General features: G+C 46.1%; 1 protein-coding gene across 13 annotated transcripts in view, besides 1 other annotated feature; it reads left to right on the forward strand.

The window, feature by feature from the left end:
- Window positions 1–22,396, forward strand: part of ADCK1 (aarF domain containing kinase 1) — a 134,906-nt gene that overhangs the window by 9,249 nt on the left and 103,261 nt on the right. For 10 of the 13 annotated variants that reach the window (NR_158989.2, NR_158987.2, NR_158988.2 and 7 more), the window contains exons 2-3: window positions 9,611–9,756; window positions 13,078–13,161. Coding sequence is in view for 8 of the 13 variants with exons in the window: in NM_001366487.2 (NP_001353416.1) it covers window positions 9,622–9,756; window positions 13,078–13,161 (219 nt within the window). In the remaining 5 variants the exon portion in view is untranslated. Of the gene's footprint in view, window positions 1–9,610; window positions 9,757–13,077; window positions 13,162–18,496; window positions 18,615–20,963; window positions 21,076–22,396 lie in introns of those variants that run through there. The other 3 variants (NM_001366490.2, XM_047431611.1, XM_047431610.1) reach the window with 3 other exon arrangements.
- Window positions 8,101–8,150: an enhancer, noted in NCBI's record as "active region_8814". NCBI's record gives its function as "activates an Ori minimal core promoter by ATAC-STARR-seq in GM12878 lymphoblastoid cells {active_cell/tissue: GM12878}" and the evidence as "EXISTENCE:reporter gene assay evidence [ECO:0000049][PMID:35858748]".

Here is a 22,396-nt window from a genome sequence, read left to right on the forward strand (position 1 = left end):
TGGCTCTTGTTGCCCAGGCTGGAGTGCAATGGCGTGACCTTGGCTCACTACAATTACCGCCTCCCGGGTTCAAGCGATTCTCTTGCCTCAGCCTCTTGAGTAGCTGGGATTACAGACGTCCACCACCACGCCTGGCTAATTTTTGCATTTTTAGTAGAGACAGCATTTCATCATGTTGGCCAGGCTGGTCTTGAACTCCTGACCTCAGGTGATCTGCCTGCTGGCCTCCCAAAGTGCTGGGATTACAGGCGTGAGCCACTGTGCCTGGCCTCCCTGTTTATTAATTATTTGACGTTATGCCAAATCCTGGTTCCTTAGGTGCTAGGAGTTTTTCATAAGCTCTTTGACTTTTGACTTTTCAGTAACAAATAAATGAGGTTTAAAATCACAAGAGAGGCTGGGTGTGGTGGTTCAGGCCTGTAATCCCAGCACTTTGGGAGGCCAAGGTGGGAGTATCACCTGAGGCCAGGAGTTCGAGACCAGCCTGACCAACATGGTGAAACCTCTTCTCTAATAAAAATACAAAAAAATTTAGCCGGGCGTGGTGGCACCTGCCTTTCGTCCCAGCTACTCAGGAGGCTGAGGCAGGAGAATCACTTGAGCCCAGGAGGCGGAGGCTGCAGTGAGCCGAGATCATACCAATGGACTCCAGCCTGGGTGACAGAGTGAGACTCTGTCTCAAAAAAAAAAAAAAAAAAAAATTACAAGAGAGTCTTATTTACTGGGTATGTCAGGCATTGCCTTAAAGTAGTATTCAGTTAATTACTTTTTTTTTTCTTGAGTCTTGCTCTGTTGCCTAGGGTAAGTGCGATGGCACTCACCACTACACTCACTGCAGCCTCGACCTTCCAGGCTCAAGTGATCCTCCTACCTCAGCCTCCTGAGTAGCTGGGAGTTCAGGGACACACCACCATGCCCAGCTAACTTTTTTATTGTTTGTAGAGATGAGGTCTTGCTGTGTTCTTCAGGCTAGTCTTGAACTCCTGGACTCAAGCAACCTTCCCACCTTGGCCTCCCAAAGTGCTGGGCTTAATGGCATGAGCCACCACGCCTGGCCAGTTAATTCTTACAATGAGCCTAGAAGGTGGGTACTCTCAAGAGCTCCCCTTCATAGATAATTATGCAGAAGCTGCAAGGAGTTGTGACTTACTCAAGGTGTTCAGAGGCTGGGTTCTTTTTTTTTTTTTTTTTGAGACGGAGTCTCGCTCTGTCTCCCAGGCTGGAGTGCAGTGGCACGATTTCAGCTCACTGCAAGCTATGCCTCCCGGGTTCACGCCATTTTCCTACCTCAGCCTCCCGAGTAGCTGGGACTACAGGCGCCCCCCATCACGCCTGGCTAATTTGTTTGTATTTTTAGTAGAGACGGGGTTTCACCGTGTTAGCCAGGATGGTCTCGATCTTCTGACCTCATGATTTGCCTGCCTCAGCCTCCCAAAGTGCTGGGATTACAGGCGTGAGCCTCCGTGCCCGGCAAGGCTGGGTTCTTTACCCACGGTCTCTTCATACTGCCTTCCTAATGTGGGCTTCTCTGGATGCCCACAGGAAGGGTCCCTGGATCACTCTCATGATCTTGACTGAAGAAGGAAGCTGTGTAAGGAGCTTAAGTCACTCAGTCTAATTTAAGGTCGGTTTCTGGATCTGATTAGGGACCTGTGTCTCGGTGGAAACAAAGTAGAGGGTGAGTCTGTTGCCCCTTTCAGCAGAAAATACTCCAGGCTGAGGGTGTAGAGAGCAAGGAGAAAGGGTAGGGTTAAGTGGGGGCCACCTAGAATGTTGGAAGTAGGGTGTGCAGAATTCCTCTGGGAGCTGATAGGCAGGGGAGCATTTGTTAAAGCCTGGCACTGGGTGAGGAGATAATAATAATGATAATAATACTAATGCTAATAATGGAGGATAATAGCATCTGCCACTCTTGAGTTCTTACTGTGTAGGTGGCACCTTGCTAAGCATTTTACATGATTTATCTCATTTCCCACCACTCCATCAAGCAGGTATTGCTGTTATCCCCTTTGTGTATGGACGAGATCATGAGGTTCAGAGAGATTTAGCAGCTTGCCTATGGTCACCCAGTTCATAAGTGGCCATGCCAGGACTCAAACCTGGGCTGATTGGACTCCAGAGTTCATGATCTCCGTCAGTACACTCTCCTGTCCAGAAAGAATCCTTGCCTAGGTGCAGTGGCTCAACGCCTGTAATCCCAGCACTTTGGGAGACCGAGGTGGGAAGATTGAGTCCAGGAGTTCAAGACCAACTTGAGCAACATAGAGAGACCCTGTCACTACAAAATTGATACAAAACAATATTAGCCAGACATGGTGGTTTGTGCCTATGGTCCCAGCTACTTGGGAGGCTGAGGTGGGAGGATTGCCTGAGCCCAGGAGGTTGAGGCTGCGGTGAGCTGTGATTGCACCACTGTACTCCAGCCTGAGTGGCAGAGTAAACCCCTGTCTCAACAACAACAACAACAGCAAGAAAAACAATGATAACACCCAAAAATAATCCTTGGCTTATTAAAATATTGGCATAATAAAATGGGGACAGGGAAATTTTCATAAAATAAAGAGAAATATCAAGGAAATAAAGAGCATGCTAGAAAGCAAGGTTTTAATTTATTCTTTTAATTTATTATTTTCCAGCTTTATTGAGGTGTAATTGACAAATAATTGTATCTATTCAAGGTGTACAACTTGATGATTTGATATATGTGTACTGTGTAATGATTACCACAATCAATCAACATATCCATCACCTCAGATAGTTACCCTTTTGTGTGTGTGTGGTGAGGACACTTAAGATCTGCTCTCTCAGCAAATTTCAAGTAAACAATACAGTAGTATTAACTAGAGTTTCCATGTTGTACATTAGAGTCCCCAGAACTTATTCATCTTGTAACTGAAACTTTGTACCCTTTGACCAATATCGCCTAATTTCCCTCCAACCCCCAGCCCCTGGTAACCACCGTTCTAACCTCTGCCTCTAAGAGTTTGACTTCTTTAGATTCCACCTAAGAGTGAGATCATGCAGTATTTGTCTTTCTGTGTCTGGCTTATTTCACTTAGCAAAATGTTCTCTAGGTTCATCCATGTTGTCACCAATGGCAGGCTTCCTTCCTTTTTATGGCTGGATAATATTCCATAGTGTGTGTGTGTATATATATATATTTCACAATTTCTTCATCCATTTGTGGATGGACACTTAGGTTGTTTCTACATCTTGGCTATTGTGCATACTACTGCATATTCTTTTTTTTGAGACAGAGTTTCATTCTTTTGACCAGGCTGGAGTGCAGTAGCGTGATCTTAGCTCACTGCAACTTCTGCCTCCTGGGTTCAAGCAATTCTCGTGCTTTAGCCACCTGAGTAGCTGGAATTACAGGAGTGAGCCACCATGCCTGGCTAGTTTTTGTATTTTTAGTAGAGATAGGGTTTTGCCATGTTGGCCAGGCTAGTCTCGAACTCCTGGGCTCAAGTGATCTGCCCGCCTCGGCCTCCCAAAGTGCTGGGGTTACAGATATGAGTCACCATGCCCGGCTGCATATTCTTTTTATTTACAAAGTCACAATCTCATTCTTGCAGAGGTAGGAACTGATCCCAGGAGTTGGGAGAGATTGAGCATTTCTGTTTAGGGAAAGAAATAAGTGAGTTTCTTAAAATTTTTTTTTTGAGGCGAAGTTTCACTCTTGTTGCCCAGGCTGGAGTGCAATGGTGTGATCTTAGCTCACTGCAACCTCCACCTCCCGGGTTCAAGCAATTTTCCTGCCTCAGCCTCCTTAGTAGCTGGGATTATAGGCATGCGCCACCATGCCTGGCTAATTTTGTATTTTTACTAGAGACTGGGTTTCTCCGTGTTGGTCAGTCTGGTCTTGAACTCCCGACCTCAGGTGATCCACCTGCCTCGGCCTCCCAAAGTACTGGGATTATAGGCGTGAGCCACTGTGCTGGCCTTTTATTTTATTATTATTATTTTTTTGGAGATGGAGTTGTGTTCTTGTTGCCCAGGCTGGAGTGCAATGGCATGGTCTCAGCTCACTGCAACCTCCGTCTCCTGGGTTCAAGCAATTCTCCTGCCTCAGCCTTCCGAGTGGCTGGGACTATAGGCGTGCATCACTACGCCCAGCTAATTTTTGTATTTTTAGTAGAGATGGGGTTTCACCATGTTGGCCAGGCTGGTCTCAAACTCCTGACCTTGTGATCTGCCCGCCTTGGCGTCCCAAAGTGCTGGGATTACAGGCATGAGCCACGTGCCCAGCCTGAGTTTCTTAAATTATTTCCTTAAAAATCGTTGCTTGCAGTTACCCTTGTAGAGTGAATACAGTCCTCTGGTGTTGGGGAAGGGGAGGCATGTTTTTGGGGAATATTCACTGATGAAGTTGAACACTAAATTTCAGCAAAGCCTCTCTTTGTTTTCCTGTTTTTTTTTTGTTTTTTTTTTGAGGAGTCTCATGCTGTCACCCACGCTGTAGTGCGCAGTGGTGCAATCTCGGCTCACTGCAACCTCTACCTCCTGTTCAAGTGGTTTTCCTGCCACAGCCTCTTGAGTAGCTGAAACTAAAGATGCATGCCACAACACCCGGCTAACTTTTGTATTTTTAGTAGAGACAGGGTTTTGCCATGTTGGCAAGGCTGGTCTCAAACTCCTGACCTCAGGTGATCCGCCTGCCTCGGCCTCCCAAAGTGCTGGGATTACAGGTGTGAGCCACCACGCCGAGCCTTATTTTTTTTTTTAAATTTTATTTTTCTGAGACAGGGTCTCACTCTGTCATTGAGGCTGGGGTGCAGTGGCGCAATCTCAGCTCACTGCAACCTTTGCCTCCCAGGCTCAAGTGATCCTCCCACCTCAGCCTCCCAAGTAGCTAGGACAACAGGTGCATGCCACCACACCCAGCTGATTTTTGTATTTTTTGTAGCGATGGGGTTTCGCTATGTTGCCTAGGCTGGTCTTGAACTTCTGGGCTCAAATGATCCTCACATCTTGGCTTCCCAAAGTGCTGGGATTACAGGTGTGAGCCACTGCACCTGACCCCTTTTTTTTTCTGACCCATTGGTAGACAATGAAGCCTCTCTTTACTGAAAAAAAAAACAAAAAACAAAAATCCTTTCTGAGCATGGTAGCTCACATCTGTAATCTCAGCACTTTGGGAGGCCAAGGTGGGTGGATCGCTTGAGCTCAGGAGTTGGAGACCAGCCTGAGCAAATGGCGAAACCCCATCTTTACAACAAAAATTAGCCCACTCCGGAGGCTGAGATGGGAGGATTGCTTGAACCCAGGAGGTCAAGGCTGCAGTAAGTTGAGATTGTGCCATTGCATTCCAGCCTGGGTGACAGAGCAAGACACTCTCAAAAAAAAAAAAAAAAAAAAAAAAGAAGAAAAATAGAAGTGTGGCTCTCAAACTTGAGCTTTCAGACAAATCACTTGTTATCTTATTAAAATGCACATTCTTGAATCTTACCCCTAGAGTTGGTAGTTCGGTGGCCCATGGGGTGGACTCTAGGAATCTACATTTATTTATTTTATTTTACTAAAAAAATTAAAAAAAAATTTTTTTTTTTTTGAGAAGGAGTCTCTGTCGCCCAGGCTGGAGTGCAGTGGCACCATCTCAGCTCACTGCAACTTCTACCACCTGGGTTCAAGCAATTCTCTTGCATCAGCCTCCCGAGTAGCTGGGATTACAGAGGCACGTGACACCACGCCCAGCTAATTTTTTTTTTTTTTTTTAGTAGAGACGGGGTTTCACCATGTTGGTTAGGCTGGTCTGGCATTCTTGACCTTCCTGCCTTGGCCTCCCACCAAGCCTGGCCCAGGAATCTACATTTTAAAAAATGTTTTAAAATTTTGTTTTGTCTTTTTTTTTTTTTTTTTTCTTTAAAACAGGGTTTTACTGTGTTGCCCAGGCTAGAATGCAGTGGCGTGATCATGGCTCATTTCAGCCTCGAGACCTCCTAGGCTCAAGGGATCCTCCCACTTCAGCATTTTGAGTAGCTGGGACTTATAGGCGTAGGCTATCACTCCAGGCTAATGTTTAAATTTTTTGTAGAGATGGGGTCTCCCTTTTTTCTTCCCCAGGCTGGTCTTGAACTCCTAGGCCCAAACAGTCCTCCCATTGTGGCCTCCGGAAGTGCTGGGATTATAGGCATGAGTCACTGCCCCCAGCCAGGCACCTGCATTTTTTTTTTTTTTTTTGAGATGGAGTCTCTTTCTGTGGCCCAGACTGGAGTGCAGTGGCATAATCTCAGTTCACTGCAACCTCCGCCTCCTGGGTTAAGTGATTCTCCTGCCCCTGCCTCCCGAGTAGCTGGGACTACAGGTGCACACCACCATGCCTGGCTAATTTTTGTATTTTTAGTAGAGACAAGGTTTCAGCATATTGGCCAGGCTGGTCTTGAACTCGTGACCTCGTGATCTGCCTGCCTTGGCCTCCCAAAGTGTTGGGATTACAGGTGTGAGCCACCGCACCTGGCTTTTTTTTTTTTTTTTTTGAGATGGAGTCTCGTTCTGTTGCCCAAGCTGGAGTGCAGTGGTGCGATCTCAGCTCACTGCGACCTCCACCTCCTGGGTTCAAGTGATTCTCATGTCTTAGCCTCCCAAGTAGCTGGGACTACAGGTGTGTACTACCACACCCAGCTAATGTTAATAGAGATGGGGTTTCACCATGTTGGCCAGGCTGGTCTGGAACTCCTAACCTCAAGAGATCCGCCTGCCTGGTCCTCCCAGAGTGCTGGAATTACAGGCGTGAGCTACCTCTCTTGGCCCAGGAATCTGCATTTTTGAAATGGCATCCAGGCTAATATTTTTTCAGGTGTTCCTCTGATTATACTTTAGAAATACTAGATTAGGAAATGAAGGTTCCAAAGGGAAGAGCAATGGAATTATAAAAAAGGACTATTGTGGTGTTATTATATATATTGGTTTTTGTCTGCTGTTCTTGGTTCATAACTCCCACAGCCCTTGTTACGGTTTTTTTTGGTGTGTGTTAGGCCTCAGGGCCAGGCCTTAGGAATCAGAATCTCTTTCCTGCCCTCCTCTCACCTGCCCCAAGGCAGGATCGTGGTCTTTCCCCACCTTTCTGATTGTGGATCTTAACCCTCCCTAGAGTAGGTTCTGCCCTATACACTGAGGGAAGGAATGCTGATATCATGAAGCTTCCATAAAAACCCAAGAACCCAAGAGGGCTGATAGCTGAGCACTTGGAGATTTGCGGAGTGTGGTGCGCCTAGGGAAGTCCTGGAAGCTTCACGCCCTTTCGCTGTTAACTGACCCTGCACATCTGTTAATCAGTATTTTTTGCAGTCTCCTTTATAATAAGCCAGCAAACGTAAGTGTGTACCTGAGTTCTGTGAGTTGCTGCAGCAGCTTGATCGAACCCAAAGAAGGGGTTGTGGGAACCCCAGCTTGAAGCTGGTTGGTCAGAAGTTCCAGAGACCTGGACTTGTGACTGATGTTGTGGGGGGAAGTGGGGGATGCAGTCTTGGGGACTGGGCCCTCAACCCATGGGATCTGACACCATCTCCAGGTAGTAGATGGTAAATATATATATATATATATATATTTAAAAAATGTGGCTATATTATAAGGCATAAGTCAAAGTAGACTTTAAAGAAAATGAGTAGGGCGTGGTGGCTCACACCTGTAATCCCAGCACTTTGGGAGGCTGAGGCAGGCGGATCGCCTGAGGTCAGGAGTTTGAGACCAGGCTAGGCAACATGGCAAAACCCTGTCTTTACTAAAAATACAAAAATTAGCTGGGCATGGTGGTGGCCACCTGTAATCCCAGCTACTCGGGAGGCTGAGGCAGGAGAAACGCTCCAACCTGGCAGGCGGAGGTTGCAGTGAGCCGAGATCGCGGCACTGCACTCCCGCCTGGGCGACAGAGCAAGACCCTGTTTCAGAGACAAATAAAATGAAGATAAGCTTGTTTGTAATAATAGTTTCCATACAAAGGGGAAACAGGCACAGAGCAGGGAGGTGACAGGCACAGACTCATTCCAGAGCAGAGGGATGAGGGTACAAGGCGTGCAAGGCTGGTGCCTGCAAGTGGCTTGGTGGCGTGCTGCTGCTCTCGTGTGGCACTTCTCTCCTGGCAGCTGCAGCTGTGGTCATGGACTTTAGTCTGACATAAATTGCTCAGGAATTGAAGGGGAAGCACTCTGTTGGGTGCACTGGCCGCAAAGAGTGACTGTGCAGCCACCTGGTGGACTGAGCAGGTACAAGTAGGGTGGGGAAAGGTCACATTGACCAGGAGTATGAATTTGAACAGATCAAATCAGCAGGTAGGCATTAAGCCTCTAACTGTAAAAAACTCCACAGGACTGTGAGTGGGCAGAGTAGTGACAGTCATAGTGTCTGCCCTCAAGGAGCCTCCATTCAAGACAAGGGGTAGTCTTCTTTTTTTTTTTTTTGAGACGGAGTCTCGCTCTGTCACCCAGGCTGGAGTGCAGTGGCGCAATCTCGGCTTACTGCAAGCTCCGCCTTCCGGGTTCACGCCATTCTCCTGCCTTAGCCTCCCGAGTAGCTGGGACTACAGGCGCCCGCCACCACGCCTGGCTAATTTTTTGTTTTTTTTTTAGTAGAGACGGGGTTTCATCGTGTTAGCCAGGATGGTCTTGATCTCCTGACCTTGTGATCTGCCCGCCTTGGCCTCCCAAAGTGCTGGGATTACAGGCGTGAGCCACCACGCTGGGCCTCAAGGGGTAGTCTTCTCTAACCAAAGTAAATGTTTTGAAAATCAACCATACACAGAGGGCTCACCTGGCTGCTCCTGAGTAGCCGCCATTTTGGCTGTGGCCTGACCACTTTTGACCTGAGTGTAGTGGGCTAGTGATGCCTGTATGTGCATTGTGGTATCATGATAGACACAGTAGCAATGGTTAACCTGCTCTTCTGCTTTGCTTCTAAAATAACATTCTTCCTCTCTCCTGATCCCTTAGCCCTCTCTGCTTTTTTTTGAGACAGGGTCTGGCTCTGTCACCCAGGCTGGAGTGTGGTGGCACGATCTCAGCTCACTGCAGTCTCCTCCTCCCGGGCTCAAACCATCCTCCCACCTCAGCCTCCTGAGTAGCTGGGACCACAGGCACGTGCCATGATGCCTGGCTAATTTTTGTATTTTTCGTAGAGACGGGGTTTCGTCTTGTTGCCCAGGCTGGTCTGGAACTCCTGGACTCGAGTGATCTGCACACCTTGGCCTCCTAAAGTGTTGGTATTACAGACATAAGCCACCATGCTCAGCCTCTCTCTGCTTTTCTTGTCAGCATTTATACCAGCTCTGATATTCTATAGTGATCTATCTGTGTAAGCTCCAAGTGGGCAAGAACTTTGTTTTGTTCACTGTCTTTCCCCATGTCTAGAACAGTGCCTGGCACTGTTGAAGGAAGGACTTTGAGGACTGACTTGCCCCAGGTACTATGCTAAGGATTTTATGTACATTATTTCATTTTATCCCAACTACTTTTGAGGTAGGTATTATCCTGTTTTACAAACGAAGAAACTAAGGCTCAGTGAGATTAATGATCCAAGGTCATATAATCTAAGTGGTAGAGCTGGGATTTGAACTTCAGTTTGACTAACTATGAAACTTTTAACTGCTATTCTTTCTCAACTTTCCTTTTTTCTGCAGGATCTGGCGACATGGCCAGAAAGGCTCTCAAGCTTGCTTCGTGGACCAGCATGGCTCTTGCTGCCTCTGGCATCTACTTCTACAGTAACAAGTACTTGGACCCTAATGACTTTGGCGCTGTCAGGGTGGGCAGAGCAGTTGCTACGGTAGGTTTTTCCCTTTTGGGGGTAGCAGAGAAGCTGCAGGATTACTTGCAGGTGTTCATACATGTAGCAGATAGACATGCCTGCTATGCATATGTGGAGATACTTGTGTATCCTTACATGTGCAAAAGCTACATCTGCACAGGTGTACACATATGGATGTGTGTCCTCATATTCCTTTATTCCTGAACACACAACCTCATATTCCTTTATTCCTGTACCTCAGGGGTTCCTGTGATCCTGAGGTAACATAGAATGGGACTGCACTGGGTCTGTGTTCTGAAGCCTTTACATTTTAGGTTCTGTATCTTATTTTAACAACACACCAAGAGGGGCCGTGCTCTTCAGTAAATGCATGTGCAAGGAGGACTTTACAGTTTTGATTAAATTCTACTAGAAAACTCAATCCCTCTCCAGTGAGCTAGGATGAATGGTTCCTGATGCAGGACTCATACCCAGATGGTCTAGCCCTCAGACAACTTTGAGGGATCCCCTCCAGTCTCCAAACTGACAGAGAACCTGAGTTGAATATTTTATGTTTAGAGGTTTTCTCCAGTGGCTCAACAGGAACGTCATCCTGGTGTGATCAGGTCCTCTTAATTCTGCTGACAACAACTCTCCCAGACATTCCTATAGAATTGTCCCATTGGTGGGTAGATGGCCACATGCCTCATGCTTGCTTTCCTCCTTTATCTGCTGCAGGATGAGCTCAAGCTTTCTTCCCCTTCACGTAGATTCAATCTGATGCACAGTCTATTGTGGTTGTCATCTCACCATCTCCCTAATACTCAGTGTTGTCAGGTGTCTTTTGAGCCCTGGCTCACAGGGGAGGGCACTGATGTGCCTGTCTTCAAGGCTGAGCTGAGTCGTAGAACCAATACTGACAGATAGACTTTGGATAATCAGGCTACGGAACATAAAACAATTCCCAAGTGTTTACCGAATGCCTTTTTTTGGTCGAGCATTGTCTTACATGCTTTGAGGGGCAGAAACAAACTGTCCCACCTAGACCCAGCTACGAAGTAGCTTCTGGTTGAGGAATGCCTACATGAATAGGTTAAAAAACAATCTAAATCCATGCATTGTGCCAAGGTGGGTGATTCAGATGCCCGCTACTATGTTCAGACACTAGAGTGAGTGCTGTGGCCTGGGAGTCAGGATTGGTATCCTAGGGGTAGCAGGTTTTATTTTATGATATATATATATATATGTATATTTTTTTAAATCTTTATTTTTTTGAGACAGGGTCTTGCTCTGTTGTCCAGGCTGGGATGCAGTGGTGTGATACCCACTTACTGCAACCTCCACCTCCTGGGATCAAGAGATCCTCGTGCCTCAGATTCTCGAGTAGCTGGGACCACAGATGCCTGACACCACACCTGGCCAATTTCTCTATTTTTTTGTAGAGATAGGGTTTCGCTATGTTGCCCAGGATTGTCTTAAACTCCTGGGCTCAAGCAATCTGCCCACCTTGGTCTCCCAAAGTGTTGGGATTATGGGTGTGAGCCATTGTGCCAGGCCAATTTTACGTGTGTGTGTGTGTGTGTGTGTGTGTGTGTATACACACATATATGGTTGAGTAATGCCTACAGTAATAGGTTAAAAAACAATCCAAATCCATGCATCCAAATCCATATATATATATATTTATTATTATTATTTTTTTGAGACAGAATCTTGCTCTGTCATCCAGGCTGGAGTGCAGTGGTGTGATCTCATCTCAGCTCACTGCAGCCTTCACCTCCTGGGTCCAAGTGAGCACATCTGGCTAATTTCTGTATTTTTAGTAGAGATGGGGTTATACCATGTTGGCCAGGCTGGTCTCGAACTCCTGACCTCAAGTGATCTGCCTGGCTTGGCCTCCCAAAGTGGTGGGATTACAGGTGTGAGCCACCACACCCGGCCTGTATATATATATTTTTAGACTAGTCAAGTGCAATAGTGAGAAGGGGAGAAAGAGTAGAGCAAGGAGTTTGATCTGTGACTGACTGTGAACAATCAATTGAGATAACTCAATACCTTCAGGCCAGCCAGAAGCAGGTTTTAAATGGAATCTTAGAGATTTGAATAGTTGGAAAGGAGGGAGGCAGATATGGATCAGGAATGGAATCTTAGAGATTTGAATAGTTGGAAAGGAGGAGGAAGATACGCTTTATAAACAGCCACAAAGCTGTCCATTTTTTAAAGGCCAGAGCTCTGGTCTGGATTGTCTTTGAACACTACTCAGTGACCAAGTCTTGCTTGTGGTTGGTGTCCAGCAAGCATATGTCGAATAGGATAAAGCTTTGTAGAGTGCAAAGGAAGAAACTCTTCTTAATATCAACTTTGTAAGTCCCTGAACTTCTAGGGTCCCAGTTACTCAATTCTATAAAGGAAGGTTTGGGGTAGATAATCCCTAAGGCCCTTCCATGCCTAGGATATCGTGGAGATTGGAATTTTCTGATTCACTCTGGATAAGGGAACACAGAATCAAGACTTATGCTATTAGGGCCAGGCGCGGTGGCTCATGCCTGTAATCCCAGCACTTTGGGAGGCTGAGGTGGAAGGATCGCCTGAGGTCAGGAGTTCGAGACCAGCCTGGTCAACATGGCGAAATCCCATCTCTACTAAAAATACAAAAATTAGCCGAGTGTGGTGGCATGTGTGTATAATCCCAGCTACTTGGGAGGCTGAGGCAGGAGAATTGCTTGAACCTGGAAGGCCGAGCCTGCAGTGAGCCAAGATCACCGAGATCATGCCAGTGCACTCCAGCCTGAGTGACAGAGCAAGACTCTGTCTCAGAAAAAAAAAAAAAAAAAAGACTTATGCTATTAGAGCAAACATACATATAAAATAATGTTTATTTGTGATGTGGAGAAGTGGGCTAAGTTTATGTAACAACTTTATTCAAGTAGCTTTGATTGAGCATTTACTCAATGTGCCTGGCAGTGTAAAAGGTGCTGTGGTAAGTGATGGACAGGAAGGACAAGCCCCCGTGCTTCTAGAGCTTAGAGTTTAAGCTTATAGGAAGAGACAGTTCATAAACAAGGAGACAAATGAGCAAGGTAATGTTGGATGGTAGTTTGTTATGATAAATAATTGAATGTTTCAGGTAAGAGGGGCAATTTTGGCGTGGGCCCCTGCAGAGGTGGCATTTGCACAGAGTCCTGAATAACAGGAGGAAGCTAGCTAGAATAAGATCCAGGGGCCAGGCATCTTAGGGGTGGGACTGGCCACTCCCCCAGACATAGCAGCTGTGTCAGGGACCTGTACTGCAAGGTTTGGGCAGAGTAGTAGTACTTAATGTCCAGGTGCTAAGCTTTTCTCCACTGCCTTGGTTCACAGACGGCTGTCATCAGTTACGACTACCTCACTTCCCTGAAGAGTGTCCCTTATGGCTCAGAGGAGTACTTGCAGCTGAGATCTAAGGTAAGTAACCCATGGGACCCATCTGAGCCAGGCCAGGACTGGATAACCCTTGAACTGCTATGCTCTAGTGATCCTCCCACCTCACCCCCGCAAAGTGCTGGGATTAAAGGCATGAGCCACTGTGCCCGGCCTAGGATTGGATAAATCCTGAAGCAGCTGCCTAGCCACGAAGCTTCCTGTGTACAGCTGGAATTGGGCAGAGGGCAGTGTAGGGGATTGAGGCTGGGGGCATTGGCCACTGAGGGTTTGGAAGGAAGGAGAGGAGGACCACTTCCTCCTTCACACAGAGGTTTCAGTGCTTCTGAGGGGTGCTGTCAGACTGTCATCAAGCTGGATGCCATGGTACTGAGGTTATCAATTTGCAAGGTGCTGTGGGAGAGGCCAGTGTGTGTTTCTGGGGAGTACAAGGGTCTGGGATGACTCAGGAGGGATGTAGGCTCTGTCCCGCAGATAACTCAGCTGGCTTCTAAACTGTTTTGTCAGGCAAAACCCAGTTGAAAGAGGTTACTTGCTGTCCTATCCTCTGAGGCCTACTCTGGGGCCTCTCGTAGGCCTCTGAGTTGAGCTGTCAACCCCAAACTCTCTGTCGTCACTTGGAACAGGGTAGTTGATGTTGATATGTGTTTAGATATCCCGGAGACTTGGGAGATCAAACAAGAGGGCATTTTTTGTGGATGTAGGTTGAGTTTGAGGTCAAGTGTAGATACCTTTGGCTCCTCCAGAGAGAGGTTTGTGATAGATTGGCATGTCTGTGCTCAGGCAGTCCTCTCAGCCAGGAATGCAAAGGAACCCCTTTGCCCCTTAGAAAAGTCCTCGTCATCCTTCTGGACTCGGCTCAAGCTCTCCTCTGTGATGCTTTTCTTCTCAGTTTTCCTATGTGGATGGAATAATTAATTTCTAAATTTTTATTTAAACTTTTTATTATGACAATTTCAACCATCCACAAGAGTAGAGAGAACAGTAGAATGAACTCTGGTGGAACTGTCATATAGCTTCAGAAACTATCAACATTTTGCCCATCTTGTTAGTCATCTTTCCCCCCTTTATTTATTTATTTATTTATTTATTTATTTATTTATTTATTTATTCCATCACCCGGTCTGGGGTGCAGTGGTGTGATCTCGGCTCATTGCAACCTCCGTTTCCTGGATTCAAGTGATTCTCCTGCCTCAGCCTCCTGAGTGGCTGGGATTACATATGCACACCATCACACTTGGCTGATTTTTGTGTTTTTAGTAGAAGCAGGGTTTAGCATGTTGTCCAGGCTGTCCTTGAACTCCTGACTTCAAGTAATCCACCTGCCTTGGCCTCCCAAAGTGCTGGGATTACAGGTGTGAGCCACTGTGCCAGGCCTGTTTCATTTATTTTTTTATTCATTCATTTATTTGTTTATTTTTTGAGACAGAGTCTTACTCTTTGGCCCAGGCTGGAGTGAAGTGGTGTGATCTTGGTTCACTGCAACCTCCATCTCCCAGGTTTAAGTGCTTCTCCTGCCTCAGCCTCCCAAGTAGCTGGAATTACAGGTGCAGGCCACCACGCCTGGCTAATTTTTGTGTTTTTAGTAGAGACAGGGTTTCGCCATGACGGCCAGGCTGGTCTTGAACTCCTGGCCTCAAGTGATCCGCCGCCTCAGCCTCCCGAAGTGCTGGGAAAACAGGTGTGAGCCACCATGCCTGGCTTCATTCACTTAATTTTTTTCCCCAAAATATTTAAATGCAAATCTCAGGCATCACATTGTTTTATCTGTAAATACTTTAGTATATACCTGCAATAGATAAGGACCTTTAAAAAAATATAACCAGAAGACCATGATCATACCTAACAAAACTGACAATTCCTTAATAATCTCTAATAGATAGTCCATATTCAATTTCCCTTGTCCCCAAAATGTCTTTTCCTTTCTTTCTTTCTTTCTTTCTTTTTTTTTTTTTTTGAGATGGAGTCTTGCTCTGTTGCCCAGGCTGGAGTGCAGTGGTGTGATCTTGGCTCACTGCAACCTCCATCTCCCGGGTTCAAGCAATTCTCCTCCCTCAGCCTCCCTAGTAGATGGGATTACAGGCACGCACCACCACGCCTGGCTAATTTTTGTATTTTTAGTAGAGACTGGGTTTCATCGTGTTGGCCAGGCTGCTCTCGAACTCCTGACCTCAAGTGATCCACCCACCTTGGCCTCCCAAAGTGCTGAGATTACAGGCGTGAGCCACCATGCCCAGCCCCAAAATGCCTTTTTACAGTTAGTTTGTTCAAATCTGGATCAAAATGTCCAAATAAGGTAGATATATTAAGGTTGACATTTTCTACATCTTTAAAAGTCTATAACATTTCGTCGCTCTCCCTCTTTTTTGAGTTGTTTGTTGAAGAAACCAGATAATTTATCCTGTAGAATTTCCTACCTTCAGGATTTGGCTGATTACATCTTCAAAGTGTTATTTAATGGGAAATACATTCAAATAGTACATAAATCAAAATATACGGTATTTGAAACATACAAAATGACCCTCCTACCCTTGTTCCTCAGGTACCCAATTTTCTTGCCTGGAGGCAATTATTATTTCTTGTGCATTCTTCCAGAGATGTCTTCCTATTTGAATTTAATCATTTTATCTTTATTCTTGCCACAGACGATAGTTGGTTACATGCCTTTCTTTTTAGACTATCTGTTCCTTTAGATCAGGGATTGAGTCTTTGATTTTTCGATCTGTATCTCTAGCGATGATGCGTAGGCCTGTGTTGATTTAATGTCTGTTTCAATGCCAGCCTGTATCCTGCCACCTCCCTACCTTTGGGGAGGTCCCAGACAGAGCACGAGGTTAATAGTTAGAAGACCCGAGTTTGTGACTTAGCTAAGCCGGCTTTGGGATATTCATTTAGCCTTTTGGAGATGCCATTTGTCATTAGAGATGGTTATGCCACTTACTCAGGATTATGTAGATAATATCTCAGTGCCTTGTGAAATAGAAAGCAGGTATCAAAAACAAGTCAGATGTCTCCTACAAGGTATGTTCCATGAGGACAGAGACTTGGTCTGTGCTGTGAATCTCCATGTCTGCAGCATCCATCACCAGGATGTGACAGGTCCTGAATAAAGGTTTGTTGAACGAACGAGTGAATGAAATGTTAGGTTTTTTTTTTTTTTTTTGAGACGGAGTTTTTGCTCTTGTCACCCAGGCTGGAGTGCAGTGGTGCGATCTCGGCTCACTGCAACCTCCGCCTCCCGGGTTCAAGTGATTCTCCTGCCTCAGCCTCCCGAGTAGCTGGGACTACAGGCACCGAAATGTTAGTTTTTATGGAGGATCTCAAAGTCCCTGCTTCTGAGACATAATTGCCCACTGCGCTTCCCTGCCCCTCTTTCTCCAGCTAACCGGTGCTATGGGCCTTGGCATCCACTGGTGTAACATTCTACGGAGAGCTTGCAGGCTCGGACACAGGGGCAAGGCCTCTGCTTTACGGAATCTGCAGAGGAGGCAGGCGATGGGTGTCAAAAAGACAGTTGCCTGTCACGTGTCACATGTAAGTCATCTGAAAGGCAGTGACACTGTAGCTCCTAGATAAGCTGACAGTTTTGGGGAATGCAGTAAGGAAAGTGCAGCCTGGCATTTGACAAGAGAACAGCACGTGGCGGCTGGCACCAGATAACAGGGTGTAGGCCCGTCTCTGGGAGTTGTGCCTGGGAAGGGGGAGCTGGCTGGCACTAAGAGCATGAGTAAATACCGCAGGAGTGTTTTCTTCCATTGGAGCGCTTATCCCTTCTCGTCAGTGTGGCTGATAAAGGAATGAGTGAAGGGTAAAACATAGTTATCTCAACTGTCAAGCCAGCATCTCCAGGTCTCAGAGTATGTCAGAGCCAGGAGGCTAGCTTCGGCAGGCGGTGACTTCGAGCACTTTCAAGGTTGGCGCAGGAAGGCTGGGATCTCAGTGACTCAGATCTGGAACCAGAGGGCTAAGAGCCAACGTGAAGTGTGTTCTAGAGGCATAGTGGCCCTTTGCTAGGCAGCCAAGGTGGTGGGGAGGGGCTCATGTGCTTTGGAGAACCAGATCCCTGGTGTTCAAGATGCTTATAAACTGAGATGTGTGTGAGCTGGCTTATTCATAAAGCATACAGAAGTCATTGCTGGTGTAGACATCCAGGAATGGGGCTGGAGGAGAGAAGATAGAGTTGATTCTGATGAGGGTTTGTGATGTAGTGGATATTTGTTAATTTTTCAGTTTGGAAGCCATTCTCATTTTGGGGAACAGCATATAAACTTTCCTCTGGGGAGCCGCTGTATTGATGTACACTTTATGAGTTTGGGAAGGGCTCACCCCACCCTTATTAGCCAGGTGATCAGCGGAGTCTATTCTGCCGGCCCTGGAGGTTGATTCAGGAAACCTGAGCACCAGAGCCAGTTCTGGCCAGTGCGCAGGACTTTTCTGGGAAGAGCAGCTCTCTCTTTTCTGCTGAGTGAGCTGAGAATGTAAGATGTTGGCTTGGAGCTGTTGGCAGCCATCTTTGCCACCATGAGGGGAAAGCCTGTCTGTGAATGGAGCTAGTATTGCAAAGAAATGCATAATTTGGCTGGGCACGGTGGCTCACGCCTGTAATCCCAGCACTTTGGGAGGCCGAGGTGGGTGGATCACGAGGTCAAGAGATCGAGACCATCCTGGCCAACATGGTGAAACCCTGTCTCTACTAAAAATACAAAAATTAGCTGGGCGTGGTGGTGGGCGCCTGTAGTCCCAGCTACTCGGGAGGCTGAGGCAGGAGAACTACTTGAACCTGGGAGGTGGAGGTTGCAGTGAGCTGAGATTGGGCCACTGCACTCCAGCCTGGCTACAGAGTGAGACTCTGTCTCAAAAAAAAAAAAAAAAAAAAAGAAATGCATAATTTGAGTCCCTAGATCTAGCTGAAATTGAAGCTAGACTACTGCTGGAATTTCAGTTATAGCTACCAGGAAATTCTTTTTTTTTTGCCCAAGGTGGTTTGAGTTAAGTTTGCTGTTTCTTGCAGCCGAATGAGTCCTTATATACTGTGGATTCTTGGAGAAGCATACTGGGGTTATTTTTTTTTCTTTTTCTTTTTTTCTATGGCCCTCAGTTTGCCACTTAAACATGCTGGGTCTTTTAAGCATAAATGGAGTTTTGATAGTCACAGGAGGGCCCGTAACTCAAGGGAAGAAATGAAATTCAAAAATTTTAGTGCCTAAGGAGGGTGCAGAGAGGTTTGGATGGTGCTGGGTAGAATTGGAGCCATTTTGGACCTGGAGCCAGGTCCCCTGGCACCTAGTCCTACTCCACTGCCAAGCACCTCTGCTTTTATTTTTTTAGTTTTTAAAAGGCTTTTTTTTTTTTGAGCTAGAGTCTTGCTGTATCTCCCAGGCTGGAGTGCATTGGCGTGATCTCGGCTCACTGCAACCTCTACCTCCTGGGTTCAAGTGATTCTCCTGCCTCAGCCTCCCAAGTAGCTGGGACTACAGGTGAGTGCCACCATGCCCGGATAATTTTTTGTGTTTTTAGTAGAGACAGGGTTTTACTGTATTAGCCAGAATGATCTCCATCTCCTGACCTCGTGATCCGCCCGCCTCGGCCTCCCAAAGTGCTGGGATTACAGGCATGAGCCACTGCGCCCAGCCCAATTTTTGTGTTTTTAGTAGAGATGGGGTTTCACCATGTTGGCCAGTCTGGTCTTTAACTCCTTACCTCAGGTGATTCACCTGCCTTGGCTTCCCAGAGTGCTGGAATTACAGACGTAAGCCACCATGTTTGGCCAGCCTCTGCTTTTCTATCCACAAAATGATGGTGGTAGCCTTTGCCCCTGTTCCGTTTATAAGAATGGAAATGAGAAGCTTTGCTTAATTTAACATTGTGGATTATTTAAACCAGCCAGAGAGGAGATCCTGAGCATAGGGTTAGCCTTGATAGCTCCTTATCATTTTAATGAACATGTTAATGATATTCTATTTTCCTCATTTCTTCTATACATTTATTAATTGGAATTCTTCTGTGAGAAAGACCTTTCCGTTCTCCCCTAGTTATTTAATTATTGTTATTATTATTAAGATGGAGTTTTGCTCTTGTTGCCCAGGATGGAGTGCAGTGGCGTGGTCTCAGCTCACTGCAACCTCTGCCTCCCGGGTTCAAGCGATTCTCCTCCCTCAGCCTCCCTGGGATTACAGGTGCCCACCATCACACCCGGCTAATTTTGTATTTTTAGTAGAGACGGGGTTTCACTATGTTGGTTAGGCTGGTCACAAACTCCTGACCTCAGGTGATCTGCCCTCCTCAGCCTCCCAAAGTGTTGGGATTACAGGCGTGAGCCACTGCGCCCAGCCATTTAATTATTTTTATCACTATGAACTCATGGATATTTATTTTATTCTATGGGGTCTATGTCCCATATATAATCCAGACAATACTTTTCCTTTATATCCAAAACAATCATTATTTTATTGCTCAAATGGTTCCACCTTTGGCCACTGGGAGCTCTTTCAGGTTGGCTCCTGTGTCCTTTTGATATACCCCCAACCTATATTGAGCACTGCCTTACATTCTTGTACTGAAAGATACTTCAGGCTTATCCTGTATTTTCCTTGTCCTGGAATCAATTACTTCTCCAAGGAGCCCTGGTTCCTGTTACTGGAGAATGGTATTTAGAAACCAAGTTGTAGAGGTTAGGTATATCGTTTTGCTACTGGGGTACCATTGCTTCTAGGCCCTTCTAGGAGACAGAGTGAGGATATATATGTGTGTACACTCACTCACACATACACACACTTCTGTCTTTCTACTAAAAAACTAAGATTTTTTTTTTTTTTGAGACATGGTCTTGCCCTGTCACGACCCAGGCCAGAGTGTAGTGGTGCGATCATGGTTCACTGCAGCCTCCAACTCCTGGGCTTAAGCTATCCTCCCACTTTAGCCTCCTGAGTAGTGGACTACAGGTGTGCACCACCATGCAGGGCTAATTTTTTAAAGTATTATTTGTAGAGACAGAGTCTCACTATGTTGCCCAAGCTGGTCTTGAACTCCTGGCCTCAAGTGATCCTGGTGCCTTGGCCTCCCAAAGTGCTGGGATTATGGGCATGAGCCACCGTATCTGGGCAAAAAACTATGAAATGATGCTTATATCTCCAATTTTAGTCCAACATCACAGAGTCCATATTAGCATTCTCCCTTTTTTAAATATCACCTCTTTCTCTGACAGTGATAAACCTGCCTCTTATCTACAATATATTTCCTTATTTGTTTGACTCTCTTACACTCTAAAATAGTTAAGACCACTGAAGCATTCATGAGCAGAGACAATGGTCTGAAATAGGTGAGGTTGAATGAGTTAAGTTGGTATGGGAGCTGAGTTTGGAAAGGTGGGTTGATGGAAACATGTAGCCTTGGGGACAAGGTGATTTTGGCTGAGCGTGATGGGTGAAATTTTGGGGGTTGTCTATAAGAAAAAGATTAATTCAATGTTACTGGAGACTAGGAGAGTGAAGGGGCATAGTGGCAAATAGGATTAGAGCTAGGTAACAGAGGGACTCAAGGCCAGGTTTTAAGCCATAGACAATAGGGAGCCATGGAAAATTCTCCAGTAAAGTTATTTATTAAGCCTTTGGTGATTGAGAATGCTTAAAGTTATTGCATCATTAAATTTTCTTTTTTTTTTTTAGACAGGGTCTCGCTCTGTTGCCCAGGCCAGAGTGCAGTGGTGCGATCTCCGCTCACGGCAACCTCCGTTCACTGCAACCTCTGCTTCGCAGGTTCAAGCGATTCTCCCACCTCAGCCTCCCGAGTAGCTAGGACTACAGGCATGCGCCACCACACCCAAGTAATTTTTGTATTTTTTGGTACAGACAGGGTTTCCCCATCTTGACCAGGATGGTCTCGAACTCCTGACCTCAAATGATCTGCCTGCCTTGGTCTCCCAAATTGCTGGGATTACAGGTATGAGCCACCGTGCCTCGCCAATTTTTTTTTTAATTAAATATGAGACAGAGTCTTGTCATGTTGCCCATGCTGGTCTCAAACTCCTGGGTACAAGTGATCCTCCCACCTCGGCCTCCTAAACTGCTGGGATTACAGGCGTGAGCTACTGTACCCAACCAGTTATTGAATTTTTTTTTTTAACACCAGTGCCACTTGCCAAAAATATTTTTTGAGCTTCTGTGTTGGACAGTGGGTAGAAGTGTGTGAACCTGCATGTTTATATGTGTCTGTGTGCTTATGAGAGAGAAAAAGAACAGGAACCTTTTCTTTTTTAAATCAGAGTTAAATGTCGGAGGTGACCTTGATTGCTACTTTGAGTGTGAAGTTTTTTTAGCTAAGCTCAAATTCTTGTTCCCAGGTAGGTCTCTGGGCTTCTGTGGTATCAGATGATTCAGGTCAGTAGTATGTGTTTGTTTGGTTAGTTACTATAGCGCCTAATATTTGGACTACAAGTAATGGTTAATATCTTCTTCCTTACCTGAGAAGCAGAGTCAGGGAGATGCAGGACCCTGCCAGGTGGTGATCAAAATTCATCAGCTTCATTACTGATAGACACAGGGCTGAGCATATAGTTTGGGGTCTGGAGGAGGTGGGCTTGCTGAACTTCACCCCTGAATTTGAGAGGCTTACCTACCCAGGCAGACATGGCTGGACAAGCCTCTCAGTTGGGGGACTGCCTCTTAGAGGAGGAAGGAGCTGAAAATCAATGCTTTGCAGATAAGCAGATCCCAAACAGAGAGGAGAGAGGAAGGGGTGAGCTGAGCAAACTCTGTTTCTTCTCCTAAATTCCTTAATCTGATTGGTGATTATCTCTCCCACAAGGAGTGAAGGAGTGGGACAGAGAGGTCAGGAGTGTTATGCATACTAGGGCTCCCTCCGCATGGTTGTGTGAAACATAGGGATAGAATGTTCTCCTGTAGTACTGATTGTGGGAGGGGAGGTAGCTGTAAATTTGCTATAAGAACCATTTGTTTCTATCAAATTCTGCTAATCTTTACATCTAACTTTGCTTAGGAACATAGGGTGTTTTGGGTTGGAGTATGGGACAGCTATTTTGGCATTACTAAAATCTGCACTTAGAGGCAAGAGTCAGACACTGTCAACTTTTATTTTATTTATTTATTTTTTGAGACAGGGTCTTGCTTTGTTGTCCAGGCTGAAGTGCAGTGGTGTGATCTCGGCTCACTGCAGCCTCGACCTCCTGGGCTCAAGCAGTCCTCTTGCCTTGGCCTCCCAAAGTGTTGGGATGGGATTACAGGTGTGAGCCACAATGCCCAGC

Source organism: Homo sapiens, chromosome 14 (genome assembly GCF_000001405.40).
Source record: "Homo sapiens chromosome 14, GRCh38.p14 Primary Assembly".
Classification (NCBI taxonomy): Eukaryota; Metazoa; Chordata; class Mammalia; order Primates; family Hominidae; genus Homo; species Homo sapiens.